The sequence below is a fragment of the Homo sapiens genome, chromosome 14 (genome assembly GCF_000001405.40).
Source record: "Homo sapiens chromosome 14, GRCh38.p14 Primary Assembly".
In the NCBI taxonomy this organism is placed as follows: domain Eukaryota; kingdom Metazoa; phylum Chordata; class Mammalia; order Primates; family Hominidae; genus Homo; species Homo sapiens.
In genome coordinates, this window is record NC_000014.9 from 88,464,401 (window position 1) to 88,481,970 (window position 17,570).

At 43.3% G+C, this 17,570-nt stretch overlaps 2 protein-coding genes across 8 annotated transcripts in view; one reads left to right on the forward strand and one right to left on the reverse strand.

Moving 5' to 3' along the window:
• The window catches only part of SPATA7 (spermatogenesis associated 7), an 84,694-nt gene extending 78,744 nt beyond the window's left edge, over positions 1-5,950 (forward strand). For all 3 annotated transcript variants that reach the window (XM_006720205.2, XM_047431581.1, XM_047431584.1), the window contains one exon: positions 5,447-5,950. In XM_006720205.2, coding sequence (XP_006720268.1) covers positions 5,447-5,467 — 21 coding nt within the window. In that variant the 3' untranslated portion in view covers positions 5,468-5,950. The remainder of the gene's footprint in view (positions 1-5,446) is intronic.
• Positions 1,378-17,570, reverse strand: part of PTPN21 (protein tyrosine phosphatase non-receptor type 21) — an 89,230-nt gene continuing 73,037 nt past the window's right edge. For all 5 annotated transcript variants that reach the window (NM_007039.4, XM_005267287.4, XM_011536367.4 and 2 more), the window contains 7 exons: positions 14,520-15,952; positions 9,265-9,402; positions 7,844-8,065; positions 5,522-5,650; positions 5,099-5,333; positions 4,516-4,676; positions 1,378-3,865 (listed from right to left, as the gene is read on the reverse strand). In NM_007039.4, the coding sequence (NP_008970.2) occupies positions 3,737-3,865; positions 4,516-4,676; positions 5,099-5,333; positions 5,522-5,650; positions 7,844-8,065; positions 9,265-9,402; positions 14,520-15,952 (2,447 nt within the window). In that variant the 3' untranslated portion in view covers positions 1,378-3,736. The remainder of the gene's footprint in view (positions 3,866-4,515; positions 4,677-5,098; positions 5,334-5,521; positions 5,651-7,843; positions 8,066-9,264; positions 9,403-14,519; positions 15,953-17,570) is intronic.

Sequence of the window (17,570 nt, forward strand, 5' to 3'; positions counted from 1 at the left end):
TCAACTACATTTCTATCCAAAAGAGTTCCTTTAAAAAGTCTGACTTACAGTCAGGCATGGTAGCTCATGCCTGTAATCCCAGCACTTTGGGAGGCCGATGCTGGCAGATCCCCTGAGGTCAGGAGTTCGAGACCAGCCTGGCCAACATGGTGAAACCCCATCTCTACTAAAAATTAAAAATTAGCCGGGCGTAATGGCGCACATCTGTAATCCCAGCTACTTGGGAGGCCAAGGCAGGAGAATTGCTTGAACCCAGAAGGTGGAGGTTTCAGTAAGCCGAGATCGTGCCACTGCACTCCAGCCTGGGTGACAGAACGAAACTCCGTCTCAAAAAAGAAAAAAAAAGTCTTATTTACAATAATTTCCTGTTTCCATTTCTTTATGCAAATCTCAAATAATAAACCTGCTCTTGGCAAGCTGCAGCTAATCTCCAGTTTATATTACTGTACATAGTTGTATATTTAAATTTTCTTAATATTGTGAACATTTAACATCTCAACCCTTCTGAAATGACTGATGGTGAAAGCTTCACAGAAAAGCTGGCCACGTCATGCTGTCGCCACTCAGTCCCACAACACCACACTCTCCTCCCTCCTCCTCCTGTTTCTGGCTAGACATTGCTTTCTGGACGTTTCTAAGGAAGCACAGGCCCAGCTTCTAATTCGACCAAAGGGTTTTAAAGTCTAAGTTCTAGCATTTTCTGAATGCTTCACAGTAGATGTTCCAGAAGAAATTAATGACTACAATAAGCATTCCAAATGATATTCTAAAATGAGGACTTTCTGGCTGGACACAGTGGCTCACGCCTGTAATCCCAGCACTTTGGGAGGCCGAGGCAGACAGATCACTTGAGGTCAGGAGTTGGAGACCAGCCTGGCCAACATGGTGAAACCCCGTCTCCACTAAAAATACAAAAATTAGCCGGGCATAGTGGTGCATGCCTGTAATCCCAGCTACTCAGGAGGCTGAGGCAGGAGAATCACTCGAACCCAGGAGGCAGAGGTTGCAGTGAGCCGAGATCATGCCACTGCACTGTAGCCTGGGCAATAGAGCAAGACTCCGTCTCAAAAATAAAAAATAAAATGAGTACTTTCTGTGCTCAAAACTACCAACTAAGCTAAACTATTTCATCAAAAGACCCCACTAATCAGGAAAACTGATACCAGAGATACCAAAATTGATCAGTGGAAAACAGTGGTTTATAACTCTACGTTTTGTGGAAGTGCACATTTTGATAATTCTTATTAAAAGACACTAAGATACATGAAGCATTGTGTAAGTTTGGCAGACATTAATATACTCATTTCAGAGGCAGTAAACCTATGAACCCTTAATGTTCTAGTTTGCTCTTGAAAATGATACTATTTCAAAGCTCAGTAATGTGGATAGATTTTTATTCAGAAATCCTTTCATATTCACTAACTGCAATTAAAAGTTTAAAATTACATGGCTCTTAGGAATGACGCCAAACATGCAACATTTTAAGAGTAATATTAAACAGTAATTTTGCCCTCAGAAGTTTACTTATCAAATTATTACAACAGGAACACAAATAGACCACATATTACTCTTTAATTAGATTTGTTTTACAATATGTTCTTGTCAACGAGCTATGTCAAACTGTTTGTTTAAACCTGACAGAAAAGCATTTTCACAAAAACGTACCATGGAGAGGGAGGGGGAGGGGAAGAAGCACTTTTTCTAGAGATGGAAAATAGTTCCAGTAAAAAGTTCTTATTCCTTTCTTCTAAGGAGCTCGTTCTGAATATTTTCACTTAGTTCTACTGTTCTTTAAACAGGACTTTAAAAAGAATTTTGTATTTACAAAATTTACATTTTGTTCCTACAAAATGTAATTTTTTAATTTTGTAAAATAAAAATGTAAAATTTTAATTTTGTTCCTACATGAGAAGTGTGCGTACTTTCAATTAGTTTTCATTAATATCTTCTGAGTTTTCCTCTTAGGTGGTTGGTTTCTGGGTAAGGCAGAGTTAGGCTGGTGCACACACTATTTAGGAAGTCCTGTCTCGTGGCTGACAACATACATGTAGTGCTCAAGGAAGTGAGTTAAGGAGTGACATGGGAATCAAAATGATGCCTAGAATAGTGTAATTTGGGAAACAGCCCTAGATTTGACATTTTGGAAGTTCACTGTAAGAAGAGACCCCAAAAAGAAGGAAAAGGGAAAGGGTTCCTCAGCTAAATATCCCACTCATCCATGCCTACTCAGCGGTCACTGTGACAAGGCCATCTTAATCGGGGCCAGAGATGACACTCTCCCCCTGTAACTCAGCCTGGCTCTGTCTATTGGGATGTGCCTAAATGGGATGGGTGAGGGGGCACTAAACAGCTAACACTGGCCAGGGAATTATTAAGGAGCTAAAATGCAAGTACCTCTTGAATACCACAGCAATCTCTGTGCACAAATTTGGACTGTACTTTTTGGGAGAAGAGGTGAAAACTATTATTAACTATTCCCTTCCTTCAACCAAAAGGAAAAATACGCCTCTTTAAGGCTTCTTTTAATGATACTATAATGCTGAATTTATTTATGAAAAAGAAACAATACAGGTTGAGGTGGGAAAAGCCCCAAGGAAACGGAGTAAGTCACTGGCGGTCACAGGACTTGAATTCCCTGGGGACAGTGCTGTGGGGTCCCCTGCTCGCCATCCCAGCACCTCAGTCTGAGTATAGATAATACTGCATTTTTGTAAAGACGAAGGCATCCTGCATTTACCATCACACTCCACCTACTCTTGTCCTAGTCATCTTACATACTCTTAGTCCTTAATCTCTCCCAAAACGCTTCTCAGCGCCCATTGTTATTGTGTCATCTACAAAGCAACACATATATTAAAACTCAGATTTGTTTTTAACAAAAAAGTGCTTAAAACCACCCTAGGCAATTGTTTTTCACTTCATTTTCAACCAATAAAATCAAATTCATTTAGATCTATGAATAATACTGAAAAAATAATGCTTATTCTCTTACATTTTAAATAATGTGCCTTCATCCTCAACTTTACATTAACTGACTCATTTCAGTATCTAAATGAATTGAGCTCTCATTTGAAAAACAGAAGGTACAACTATATAGAATTTTTAGGATAAAAAATGTTCTGGATAGAAAAATCCTTTTGATGTTTCAAAATAACACAGATTCTCAGTATAGTTTTCAGTTTGGCAACTAAACCATTATTAAGTACCCAAGGTTTTTAAAAAATAACAAAAGATAATAACATGATTTTTAAATACAAAGTTATATAGGAGCAACTCATATCTGTGGATCATCCTTACACAAAGTTGTTTCTCACTAGAAAAATCCCTAAATATTTGTCATAAAATAAAAACTCCATTATCAAAAATTAGTTTAAGATAGAAATCTATGCACTTTAATGATTGCCAGAATTGCCCAGCATAGCTTCAGTAAAATAGAGAATTGTCTAGAAAATACAATCTCCAAAATGTGTGCAAGTACTGCAAACCGGACAGACCGGGGCAGGGCAAGGCCCTTGAAACCAAGTCCTCCTTGAGCACCTTTCCCAGGTTAGAAACCCCTCTTCAGCCTGTGCTTCGCACGTTTCCTTCAGCGTGCCGCCATTCAGACTGCGCCACTTACGTCCCAGTGCCACGCTGCGTGGATCAAGTGTCAACGGGAAAGTATGAGTTAGGCAAGCGCTTTTTTTTTAAGCTGTAAACGCTTCACATGACTGGCCCCGTAAGAAATTGTGGGAGCTTAGATGAGCCTGGAGCTTTTCAGGAACTGGATGAGGACTCTGTACACAAATGTGTACTGGCAGAGAGTCTGCACCAGCATCATTCTCTGTTGCCTCAGCATGTCCAGCACTCTCGGGATGTCCAGCACCTAGGTTGAGAGAAACGGTAATGAAGATAATGTGTTCCCCTGGGGAGACAGAAAGGATGGGAGGACACGAGTGTCCTGGCAGAAACCTGGTTGGGAGATGGACAGTCTCTTTTCCACCTTAGCGTCTTCTAGAAATAAGCCATGATTGCCTACTTCTGATTTTCTGATTAGTTTTAGCTATAAATAGAATGTCCATGCAGACTATTTCTTCAACATTCCCCAGGTGTAGCTCACTGACTTTGTATGGTTGGACATAATTACCATGTCTCACTAAATACCAAAATTATACAAAAACATAGTGTGCTAAGTGCTATCAGTATCTAGCTATTTCCCTCAAGGGCTCTGGGCAGCATGAATCATCCTTGAAATGTAAACAGAAAAAGAATTCTGAGCTCAAATTTGAAAAACCCTGGGCAAGTAAAACAAAATTAAACAGCTTTATTTATCGTATGACTTCTTAGTCTTTAATATGCTAATTGGTACTGAGACTCTCCAAGAAGACACAGCCTTTTGCAGGGAACATTAGTAACATCTTGAGGCCACCACAGTCCAAGGAAATGTGCGCAAAAAGAGCTATTAAGTCACTATGTCCCTCTCTTCCCCAGCCTCATTTCCACCCAAAAAGGCCAGGTGATCATAAGCGCCATCACCTCATTGTGTTCCAGGCAGGCGATCATGATCTCCGACAAAATCACCACGCCAGTCCTTCCTACCCCAGCACTGCAGTGGACCAACAACGGAGGGTTGGGGCTTTGGGGATCACTTGTGCTATTTGTATGGCGTCGAACAGACTGGATCTCTTCAAGATATGCTGTGGAAAATCAATGAAATAGAAAAGTACTCAAGGATCAAGGCGTATCACATTGTTGACTCAATCTTCATATTCTCTCCACTGATTAAGAGGACTGCAGATAAAGAGCACTGGGTGCCAGTGAACCAAACCCAACCACAAAGGGACAGTGTGACCCTGAGCAAGTCACTACCTCTGTCCACTTTCTGATCTACAAAATGAAATGACGGAGATACTGAGTCAGCTGTGGCATTCTACTCACTACCAAATCATAATTTATAAACCTCGTTAACCCTCCCCAAAACACTTGTATTCTTTATGTTAAAACAAGTCCGAAGCTTATATGAGATAACATAAAGGAAATATTTCGGAAACATAAATGTTCCTCTCTGTTTAACACCTCCAGAGGCAGCTGTCCTCGGAACAAAGTTAAAGTCACTCACATAAAAATCCCTTGAGGTCTTCTGGACAGCCATGTTCAGGCCAGTCTGTGTATTGGAGGTGCCAGACGGTCCTCTCTTGCCCAGTAAGGAGGTGCTTCATCTTCAGGCCTGTGGTGGCATAGCAGCCAGAGTCTGTGCGGAACCGGGTCGTGATCTTAAACCTTCCATAGGTGACAGTGTTGTGCCTGGAACCAAGTCGTGGCCAGTACCTAAAGCTCTTCTCCCTTCCACCCTCCTGTTAAAGATGAGCATGGTTAAATGACTCGAGATCCGGCAATGGATGCCTTTCTCACATAGACGGCACATCTGAAACAGAACCACAACCCTACCCTGCCTTTTTCTCCACAGGTCAGGATTCCAGATGATTAACATTAACTGTTCTTCAGAGGCTGAGAAAATCACTTAAGAGAAATAAGTACCTACCTCTTCTGCTGTCACCATTGCTATAATTGCAATTCCCTGTTCCCATACCATCTGCCAAAAATCTTGACAGGTATTCTGTAATGGTCCCTGTGTGGCAATATAATCCCATTCGATTCCACTGACAGAGACCTGGGATTAGAAAAGGTTAAAAAAATTGATGTGTGGGTATAATATACATAGGTATGTATGCATGCATTCATGGTAGTACTAAAAAAGTTTTTTTAAAAAAGTAAAAAGTAAAAAAGTAGTAAACTGGATTATTCAGCAGAATAAGGAAAGACTTTTCATCTTTTCCCTTGTGAATACAATTTGCATTACTGACATTTTTATAAACTTAGGTACTGTGAATATACATAATATCTATGCAACCTGTTTAACCTTGCTGAATGTCAGTTCTCATTTATACAATAAAGATACTGCCTACCGTCATAGGGTCATTGTGAGGACTGAGTCAGTATCTATGGTACCTGGCACATAACTCAATAAGTAGCTGTTATTGCAGACATGGTGCCTCTTCTTTAAAAAAAACCTTCCTACTTAAGATAGTCTCACCTCTGAACTTCTGAGTCAAGGTCACTCTCCACAATAATATTAAGTTTCCACTTCAGATTTAACTTCCTTGAGAGCAGTCTAATACAACAGTAATTACTAGATTTGTGGTTAAGAGACCTGGGTTAAATCTTGGCTTCACCAATATTGAGTGACGACAATAACTGTCTCCAAACACTCACTAAACGTAAAACCCAGTGCCAAGCCTTGTGCCACACGCACTCTCACTCAGGGCTGCCAGCCCCCTAGTCACCGCTCCACATCGTCTCACTGAGCACCCAGTGGCTGCCACTGTGGATGAGTACCAGGTTATAACAGTGAATAAACACTAGGGAGGAGGAGGGGACTAGTGAGAAGCTGGCAGGGTAGGTGTCATCATTTATTTATTTCCATGTAAGTGAGATGAGGTCCCACAACACAGCTTATAAAGTGAGGTCCCACCTCATTTTAGATCTAGGCGTCAGACCCAGGTCTATCAAATTCTTTCCTCTATTCTGCAAGTGGCTGCTGAAGATTTTGAAATATCACTACAGAACTACAGTATCATTCATTCTTATCCATCTAGTCATGAGAGACTGGATGAGTTATTTCAAGGAAATGCTCGGTTTTTAAGTAAATTATGCTGATATTATATTTAAAAACAAAATAGTATGTGCATAGATTCCCAAAAGCCATCAAGGGGTACTGGCATTCACAGGCAGACTGCCAGTCTCCAGAAAGCCTTGGTGTCAGCTTGTTCCCTTCTCAAATAATACTTGCAAACTAAAGAAAAAAACCACCACCTGTCCACAGTTACTCATTCACTCACCATGAGATTTCTCCTTCCCAAAATAAAGAATTGAATGTGGCCAGCATGAACAAAGGGTACAATGAGGAAGAGGGAACATCTGGCTTTATTCCATCATGTGTTGTGAATCATCATTTTGTCCATTTTCATAGGAGTGATATTACCCCAGATAAGGTGCCAAGAACATACACTAGGGAAGGACAGCCTCTTAAATACATGGGACTGGGAAGACTGGATATCCATAAGCAGAAAAGTAAAACTGGACCCCCTATCTCTCACCATAAACATTACCCCAGTTTAATGGCATTATACTGGTTCCAGGAAAAAAGCACTTCTTCAAAGAAAAAAAATGATACTTAAAAATTATTATAAAGAGTATGTAAAGAGAACAGATGGCACCTTGGTAAGTTGAAAGCTTTTGTGAACACCATCAAAAAGCCCAGACACTTTTGTTACATAAAAATGCATGTCAGTATGTGATGAGGAAAAACTAGCAATTCAGTGGCTCCCAGAATTTATGAGCTAAAAAGAGGTCTTCAGATTTAGAAGGACAAAGTTCTAAAGCCAGGCAACACAAGGTCAAGGCTGTAGGGAGCCATGATCATACCACTGCACTCCACCTGTCTGGGCGACAGAGCAAGACTCTATCTCAAAAAAGGCAAAAGAAAAAAAAAAAAGCCGGGCAAATAAGTGCGCCCTGAGTCCTGGTAACAGTGTTGGGGGCAGAGTGGTTTCGCACATGGAGAGTAGACATGACTTTGGCTCTGTCTGATAGACGCTTTTTATCTAGCACTGGTATGTGGATTTCCCAGCTTGCAGTACAGTTTGTCACAAATGTTTAAAACTAGGGTGTTTATCTAAAACAATACAATAAAAATAAATTTTAAAATATCTGAATTCTAAACAGACATGAATACAATTCTTACCATTCTTGTAACTTAACTGAAACTGCATGTGCTGTTGATTACTTGAGGCGTTCCTCTCACCTTAATATGTGATGCGTTGATGTAACCAGTGTTGTTTTCTTTAGTTGGGACCAACTCCACTCTCACATCATCATAAGGAAGAACATCTTGGAATCGATTTCTTTCTGCATTTTCAGGGAGTCGTGCTGTTGAGCACTCCCCATCAACTAGCCGTTTCTTAAGAATTCTTTCATATTCTGTGAATACCATTCCTTGTTCTAATCGTTGTTCCAGAATTTTACACTATAAAACAGAATATGTGTAATAACATGAATACAGCCACACGTCGTGGCTACCTTTTGACTGTATATTTGAAATCTTGTTTTCTGCTTCAAATCTAGCACTGTATAATATTGAAAATTCTAGGTTGGGCACGGTGTCTCATGCCTGTAATCCCTGCACTTTGGGAGGCCAAGGAGGGAGGATCACTTGAGCCTAGGAGTTCAGGACCAGCCTGAGAAACACAGTGAGACCCCGTCTCTGCAAAAAATTAAAAAACGAGCCAGGTGTGGTGGTGCATGCCTGTGGTCCCATCTACTTGGGAGGATGAGGCAGGAGGATTGCTTGAGCCCAGGAGGTTGAGGCTGCAGTGAACCATGAGAACCTATCTCAAAAAAACCAAACCAAAACCAAAACAGAAACAAAATTCTAGGTGAAAATGAAGTTAAAATTTTAAAAAGCCACAACAACAAGAGTTAAAAGAACAAAAGACAATCATTTTGGTGAGAAATATAATGCAAACTTTTGTTTAAAGTTGAAAATTGGCCTAAAGAAATTTGTTGAATTCATTTTCTCTAGATCTGTGGTCAATTTTGTGACCCCTAATAGATGGAATTCTCCTGGGGAACAGTAAGTAAATCTAGGGGACGGATAATGAGTTCCAACAGCTATGAACAAATGTTTCCATTTTATGTCATACGATATATAAAAGACTAAAGCAGTAGGAAATATTCGAAACTACCTCCAGGATCCCGTTGTAAAGCAAATGTATGCCTATCTGATTTTGATGTAATAAAACCTCATAGAAAATACACCTCAGGCACAAAGGAAGTTTTGAAAAATTGAGAAACTACTCTCGAGATAAACTTTCAGTATAATAAAAGTCAATGTCTGCTGCTTTTCCCCTGTATGCTCCTGTATTTTTGTAGATTTCTTCTCACTTTAAGGCCATCAAAATCAAGACTGCTCCAAAAGGCCAGGAGAAGGTAAAAAAGAACACTGAGAAACAAACAAACAAAAAATCAGCATTCGAACCTGAAATTATCTATTAAGACATTAGCTATACATTTGCCCCAATTTTGAGGCCCATATTACAAAATTCCTTAACACTCATTTATTATTAAATTGTGTTAGAAAATTCACCAAAATCTCATGAAGGCATTTGCGTAGTATTTACCGGTTGTTCCAGAGAAGGCACAAAGCCCTGTGTGTCCCATACATACCCTTTCATCATTCGTTGCTCTGGTAGCCACTTCCTTTCCTTCATCAGGCAGAGGCACTCGAGATAGGGAGAGTCCATTTAGGGCAGCCAGTTTAAGAGGACCAATTTTTTTTGCATCTACTCGAGTCTTTTTCATTCCCTGTAAAAGGATTTATATGTATATATGAAATATACACAAATACAACCCCTGTGAAAAGAAGTTTCAATGCACTGAAGACCAGGAACACACAGAGGGAGTGTTCTCCTTTGCCAATAAACCCAGAAAGATTACACTCCTTCACACACCACTTGTTTAACAAACATTAGTAGGAAGACATTCCTTTCAAGGCCAAAGCCCTGATAAAGTCTTCCAGATAGAAGGTTTTGAAACACTATTGGTTACAAAGTTCTGTTGTAATGAAAGGTGAGGCTCCAGGCAGACTGCATTCCTTTTAAAACAAGACAGACGTAACAAATCAGCTGAAGTCCAAAAAAAAAAAAAAAAAAAAAAAACAAAAGCTTTAAATGCAATCAATTGACTATAGTAAGCTTTTATAAATTTTTTTTTTGAGGGTCTCACTCTGTCACCCAGGCTGGATGGAATGCAGGGGCACCATCATAGCTCACTGCAGCCTCAACCTCCAGTCTCAAGCAATCCCACCTGAACCTCCCGAGTACCTGGGACTACCAGCACATGCCACCATGCCCAACTAATCTTTGTGTGTTTTGTAGAGATGGGGTCTCACTATGTTGCCCAGGCTGGTCTCAAACAACTGAACTTAAGCAGTGTTGGCCTCCCAAAGTGCTTGAGATTACAGGCGTGTGCCACCATGCCCGGACAGCTTTTTATAATTTTTAAAATATATAAATTCTTTAAGTCATTCTGAAAAATTAAATGGTTTCTGCAGCAGCCCCCTTTGTGTGTTAAGCCCCCTCCTCATATGCTACTCTGCATTCTAGTGCAGACTTAGATGACCCGGGTTAGATCACGCTACCTCTCAGAACGGCTACGTTTTTAAACAAGGAAAATAAAACAGGGCTAAAATCTCCATCATGACACCAGGAGGATAGGACAGAAGAGAAAGCATCAACAAAATCTTGTCTCCTGAAATCAAGTGTTTCCTAAAATTATTATTAGAGCATGATTTTCCTCTCTGAGAATAGTAAGCATAAGAACACTAAGTTGACCAGGTGCGGGGGATCACGCCTGTAATCCTAGCACTTTGGGAGGCCGAGGTCAGGAGATTGAGACCATCCTGGCCAATATGGTGAAACCCCGTCTCTACTAAAAATACAAAAATTAGCTGGGCGTGGTGGCACATGCCTGTAATCCCAGCTACTCGGGAGGCTGAGGCAGGAGAAAGGCTTGAACCTGGGAGGTGGAGATTACAGTGAGCTGAGATCGTGCCACTGCACTCCAGCCTGGAGGCAGAGTGAGACTCCGTCTCCAAAAAAAAAAAGAACACTAAGTTTCGTTGGATATACTACACTTCCTTGGATGATATCAATATAATGAGTAGCCCCAACTGGAAAATAATGGTTCTGCCCTGTAAACAAAATCCGTGTTATTCCAGCTCTCTCAGCCTGTAACAGGCCATGAAGCCCCATGATAATGGTGCAAGAACAGAGGGAAAAGGCAACTTGGTGAGAGAGGAAAAAAATCCTAAAAGATTGCTGCTGTAATTGGAGACTGTGATTGGTACCTAACTCAATAAGCTAAGTGGATTAATTTTTAATTTTATAATTAATATTTGATCATGAGCTCCCCACATAATGCAGTCTAGACTATAAACAGCAGAGGCCTGGGTTCACATCTGGCCTCTAACTGACCAACTTCTTTCAGGCAAGTCACCTTTCCTCTGTAAGCCTCACCTAGACAGAAAGAGACAGATATATCCAGACACAGGCATACAGACTAAACACTTCCTGCTTAGGCTGAAATTTAATGATTCTAACGTGCAGAAAACAGTGATGTGCTGGTAATATTTAACAACAGGCTCTTGGAAGGAAGTTTTGATCGGTGTTTGCCCATATCCATGGTGTAAATACTCCCATCACAGCCAATTTCAAACTGTTAATGTCACATCAATTGGCTCACAAGGTTCCTGAACATTTAAGTCGGCTCTTGCTAGTCAATATGAACTAGCTCTGGCACTTCTCTGCCTGAAAATGACTCAAAATATCCCACACTGGGACACGCTGGATAAAGCTGATTGGCTGTGAGGTCAGTTCAAAAGCCAGTATTGGAAGAATGTTGTATGTAGTCAAAACTAGCCTTGAATATGCCTTAATTAGCCCTTAGAATATAAGCACAGGATTTTAATGCATACCCTGCACAGTGATTTCTTATGTGAGAACCACTGCACTAAAGGGTACAACAAAAAGAAAATCTTTATGTAGATATATGAGCACCCAAACCAGTCTGCCTTTAAGATAACAATCAGGTTGCTGGAGGTGGAGATGGGTGGAGAATTCTAAAATCATTCCTACTTGTCTACAGTTTATTTCACTGTTTTTAATACTAAACCTCCATAACCTTAATTCACATTAGGAAATTTGTTGTAACGATTAAGATAATGGCAACCCCATGTTACTATGAAAGGTCAGAGGGTACAATAGGGAATTGGCCTCTTCCACTCTTGAAAGCCATTAAGTTAAATATATGATGCCACCTCACAGTAATGTTAATATTGACTAATCTCTTTCAATGTGCCAGAACCTCATTTTTATCCCCCCAACAACTCTCTGGGGTCCTCTCATTTACAAATGTAAAAACTGAGTCACAGATTAAATAGCTTGTCTGAGGTCACATGGCTGCCTCTTTTACAAGGTAATCAGTGTCAAAACAAATAAAAGCAAATCTTTGGTTAAAATCAGTTACACTGAATCATGTAATTCAGGAGGCATTTTTTCATGCCTAACTGCATGTGGGACATAATGCCACGAAGCAGGCAGCGAAGGGATGACCGTCCTCATGATCTGAGGTTATCTGATGTGGAAGCTGAGGTTCTGACGCATGAAGGGTCCTGACCGTGGTCACAGAGAACTAACAAATGGCAGGCTCTAGACTCAGCCCCAACGTTCTTAACTTGTAGGACCTTTGCTCTTTCCTCGTGACCACAGCTGCCATACCCATTCCTTAAGTAGAATCCTTTAAGCAAAAAGGACCAAAAACATAATCCAATCACATAATTTTACTAGTATTGTGGTCTTAAAAGTCAATGGGAGAGAAAAGTTCTTTTAAGAGAACCAAATTGATCAAAGTCCTCAGATTTAACTGAACCTACCAGACCCCATTCAAAACATACAGGGATAAAATAGGCCTGAGTACTGAGCTGTACTCAGATAGCATTTGGGGAAAGTACGTGAGTCACACATAAAAACAGACCGTTCTTAATGCAATGGGAAGGGTGTTAACTATAAAAGGACCCTGTCCAGCTGGCTCAGGGATTCAGGTAGAGTTACTTTGGAAAATCTACCCACACCTTATCCTGAATCACTGCTCCCTACACTCTTAAATCTGTGTCCACTGAAGGCATTGGCCTTTACTGTTCAGGGATGTGAGTTATGTTGCATACTTGTGAAAAATTTAAAAATCAACTTAAAATTCAAACCCAAAACTTATTAAAAGAAAGCAAATTTAGGCCAGGTGTGGTGGCTCACACCTGTAATCCCAGCACTTTGGGAGGCTGAGGCAGCCAGATCACAAGGCAGGGGAATCGCTTGAACCCAGGAGGCAGAGGTTGCAGTGAACTGAGATCACACCACTGCACTCCAGCCTGGGCAACAGGGCAAGACTGTTCTAAAAAAAAAAAAAAAAAAAAAAAAGCAAATTTAAATCTGTGGTACTTTTTTTGTTAAGTAGTTTTTGTCTATGTACATTAATCTCTTTCATAAGTACTATAATAGTGTGCGTTTTTTCCTGTTTAGCAAGATGTTTGCAGCATCTTAAAGGATGTCATACACTAGGCCAGAACCACACTTGAGATGAGCCGTCCTGTCGGAGTTTGCAGTTTAGCAGCGATGGGGGGAGGAGAACCCTAGTTGCCAGGACACTGGAAGCCAACAGGAGATAGGATGGAGGCCCTAATCAAGTTAGCCTGGCTCAAGTGCAGGGCATGAGGAGTGGAGATGTGGGCCAGGAAGAGCTGGAAGCCTGAGCACTGCAACAAAATCACTTCGGTGGACACACTTCATGACAAGGCCGCAGATGCTTAGTCCCAGGTTAAGGACTGAGTTTAAAAGTTTCAGTGAAAGACTAGCAAGGCTTCAACAAGCAATTATGACTTAATAGAACATATACAGTATACTTCAATGCAGAACATACATCTACAGTGTAGATGATAACAGAATGGGCTTCTAAGTATGGGTTTAAAATTCCAGTTCAGTCACTCACTAGTCATGTGACCTTGGAAAAGTTAGTTAATATCTAAGTCTGTTTCTTCATCTGTAAAACAGGCATAACAATAGGCTTACTGTAAATAGGCCACAAAAGTAGAGGAAATGCTTGGCCCATGGCAAATGCTCCAAGGATGGTAGCTAGAGATGATGCTACTATGCTTTTTTATATTTTGCTTCAAAGTAGGTAAAAAGTGCTTAATTCATATTTATTTATTAGGCTGAATATTAAAGAACTGCATCTTCTACCGGGGACTTTCCTTAGATTCTCAGCTGAATTCATCTTTCTTTTAAATTTAAGAAACCTGGACGTCTCAGGATTTGCCTTAACAAAGTGCCACCTTCCCAACTCCAGAATCACTCTGGAGAATCACGGCCAAGATATGTAAGCTGTATCCACACACACTCCAACCTGGAGAATTATATTAGGATTGGGTACACTTTCCTGGATGCTTTTTTCAGATATCTCTTGAGCAAACTAAACAAATGCACCCCTGGGGTGCCACATCACCCACAGTATTTTTAATGGGTGGCTAAAGCAATCGTGGCTAAAGTAATGAAATCTTAACTGTCTTTCCCTTAACAGTGCATTACTAAAACATTTCATTCATCTTTTCCATTTCGACAAAACCCTGTGAATTTACCTTTTCACTTCATCTATAATAATTATCTCCAGTAAAACCACTAAAATTCAAGTGGATCCCCATGATTTCCATAAATTTAAATGTGTTCAGAATTAGACAAAAAGAGAGTGACGTGGGGGAATGAAGAACGTTAAAAGAACAAGAGGAGCTGAAAAACACGGGACGTGATGAGTGAAAGAAGCGCCAGGGCGAACGCGCGGTCCCCTGGCCCGGCACTGCTCGCCGCGTGGCTTACCCCTAGAGGCGGGAGCCCTTCCACGATGTTCTTCTTCCCAGAGAGAAGGTCCGACACCGGCCTTTTCTTCAGAGAGTCCCTCCGGGCTCGGTAGCGGCCTGACGTGGTGAGGTCGGACTCCGACATGGAGGGCATCAGCAGCCCGTCTCTCCAGGGCCGCTGGGCCTCTGCGGTCGTGCGGACGGGGCTGCTGTCCATCATCCTCTTCTCCGCGTCTGGGACGTGGGCCTTGGGCTCCAGGATGTGCAGGGGCCCGGCGAGCAGGACGCGAGGGCAGCCAGGTGGGTCCTGGGCCAGGCCGGGCCGAGGCTCGCGCGCACGTGCAGGAGGCGCCCGGGCCCCGCTCTCCTCCTCGAAGTCCTCGTCCTCCTCCTCCTCGCTGCTGTGGATTAGCATGGTGGCGTCCGACAGGGACTTCTTATGGCCGTACCTCAAGCCCTCCGCCTCCTCCGGCCCTTCTCGCTGTGTCCTCTCGGTGAAAACGCTGGGCTGGGAGCCCACCGAGACGGCTCGCGGCGCCACCTCTGCCGCCGACGCGGATAGGGTGCGCTCCTTGAGCCGCAGGCCCTCCAGGCCGTGGCTGAGCCCGGCCACCTCGATGCTGTTCCGTTTGTGCAGCTGCGCGTGGCGCGCGGCGGTGAGGGGCTCGCTGACCTCCTGCAGCGAGTGCGCCACGGGCAGGCTGTCCTCCTGGAACGTTTGCACCGAGTGGTGCACGCGCCGCGTGATGAGGTCGGGGTTGCTGCTGCTGATGTAAAGGTGGCGGGACAGGTCTGGCGTGCTGTTGGCGGGCCTGGGGGGCGGGTAGGGTGGGGGTGGCCGGTACACCTGCGTCCGCATGATGTTGGGAGACGGGTAGTCCTGCGCCTGCAGCTGCGCATTGGTCAGCTCCGGCACGCTGACCGCGCCCACCACGGGCCGCCGCTCGGCAGGGTAGGGGTAGGGAGACGGGCTGTGGAAGCTGTAGCTCAGGCTGAACGGGCAGTGTGCGGCCGCTGGCGAGGGGAGCTGTGCGTGCTCGCGGATCTCGGGCTGGCTGTAGACCAGCGCCGCGGGCCTGCTGTAGGCGTACGAGCTGCCGATGTTGAGGTTTCGCAGCGAGTGGCTCTGCCGTTCCGCATGCACCAGGCCCCTGTTGAGCTGCTTCATCACAGTCTCATAGTCTGGGGTGGGGCGGTAGGACGGGGGTATCACGGCGCTGTGCCGATGGGACGGGAGGTAGTCAGGCCTCATGACGTCACTCCCGGTGATGCTAGGGTTGGACGACATCGGCGAGGGCTGCAAGTAGGGCTGAGGATTATTTAAGGAGTTGGTGCTGTGTGCACTGTAGACACTGCCATTACGGATCCGACCGTTGAGGTCAATCTGGGCTCTATCCAAGCTTGTCTGAGAGTGACAGTAGTATCCGTTCTGGTTGGGCACAAAGAGGTTATCTAGAAAAAATGAGTTCAAAATGAGATTTTTTTAAATGGACTAATTACTCCAACCAAATACTGAGATCGGCCCTTACCTCTGATGACATTTTTAACACAGCTTGTAAAAATCCCCGCTAGAATGACCTAGCTTTAGCCACACTATCTGAGTGACCCTGGGAGCTTCGGCTTCCTCATCTATAGGATGGGCATGGCTCTGCCTACTTAAGGGGTGGCATTCATTGGGTGACAAAGTGAGACCCTGTCTTAAACGAACCACACCCACAGCAGACTAGCAGACTTTTTGGAACTCTGGGGAAGTTGAGGCAGAGATACCATTCAAGGCACTGGGCTGGGGACTCTGCCTTTCTTCCCTGGGTAGGGATGTGGCCTTGCTGCTGCTGAGCTAGTTCAAGCACCAACTGTCTGTAAGCATTTCCTTAACTGGAAATTTTTATTGTTCTTCCCAAATGAATATGAGAGCTTCGACTGTAAAAGGGTAATGGTATAGCAGGATCTGAACTTCTCTGGTCCAACAGTGTCACCAGCAGCCACACAGCCCATAAAGTGTCCAGAAGCCAAGAGGAGCCACATTAAACAGCTGCAGCTGCCCCCTGCCCTGGCCCCCATGTTTCAGGAAGATCCAGACCTGCAGCTAACAGAATCAGTTTAACCTAATCTTAAAATAGCTATGCATGTGTCCCTGCCCAGGGATGACAGGGGCCATGTTTCTTCTAGTCAATTTGTAGCTCACCTGCCCTCTGTTACTGAGGATGATTTCTAACCCTAGATGATTTCTAACACTCAGCAGCCAACTCCTTCAAATAACAATTTCCTCTGAAAGGCATTCTTTTTGTGCTTCGAAAGCTCCATGGTGATTTATGTGATCATGGTGATACTTAAGTAATACACCACAATCCAGTGGGTACACTTTATTCTGGTGGCACATGCAGCTGTGAGGAAATAGCACTCAAATCTCCATGGTATTCTTCTGCTGACACACAGCACTTCCATGTCACTGTGCTTTCCTCATTTATGCAAAGCTTGGTCATGGCTCCATCTCTGCAATCCCCCTTTCCTCACTGCTGCCACAGCTCGGGCCCCTACCCCAGCTTGTCTGAACTAGCTCTATATACACCTAGTCTCCCTGCTTCTGCACCCCACAAACCATCTAGCCATTTATGAGACTGTTATGTGGAAAAGGCAATACTAAGAATAGAAGGAGGAAAAGATGGTTGGAATACAGGCAAGAAAAGGGGAAAGGTATGCATGAAATCACCATAATTCAAGGAAGGGAGAAGAGATGAAGGGTTACAGGAGTCCAGAGGAAGAAATGCTCATTTCCAGCCTGAGTTGGGTTGATGGGGACAAGGAAGAGAGAACCAAGAACCACCTCACAAGATATGGCAGTTAAGGGGACTTGAGGGGTAAGTGGGTGGGGTGGGCGTGTCCAGCTTCCATCAGAAGTGAGGTCTCTCCACCTCTCAGAGCACGCAGGGTTACCCCTCCTCACCCCTTGATATCAGGCACAACAATGCGACTAGTAATGGTCAAGGGAAAGTGCACAGAGGGTTAAAAGCCAGCTTCCAGGCTCTCTTCCAACTGCAACACTGACCAACAACATTCCAGAGAGAAGAGC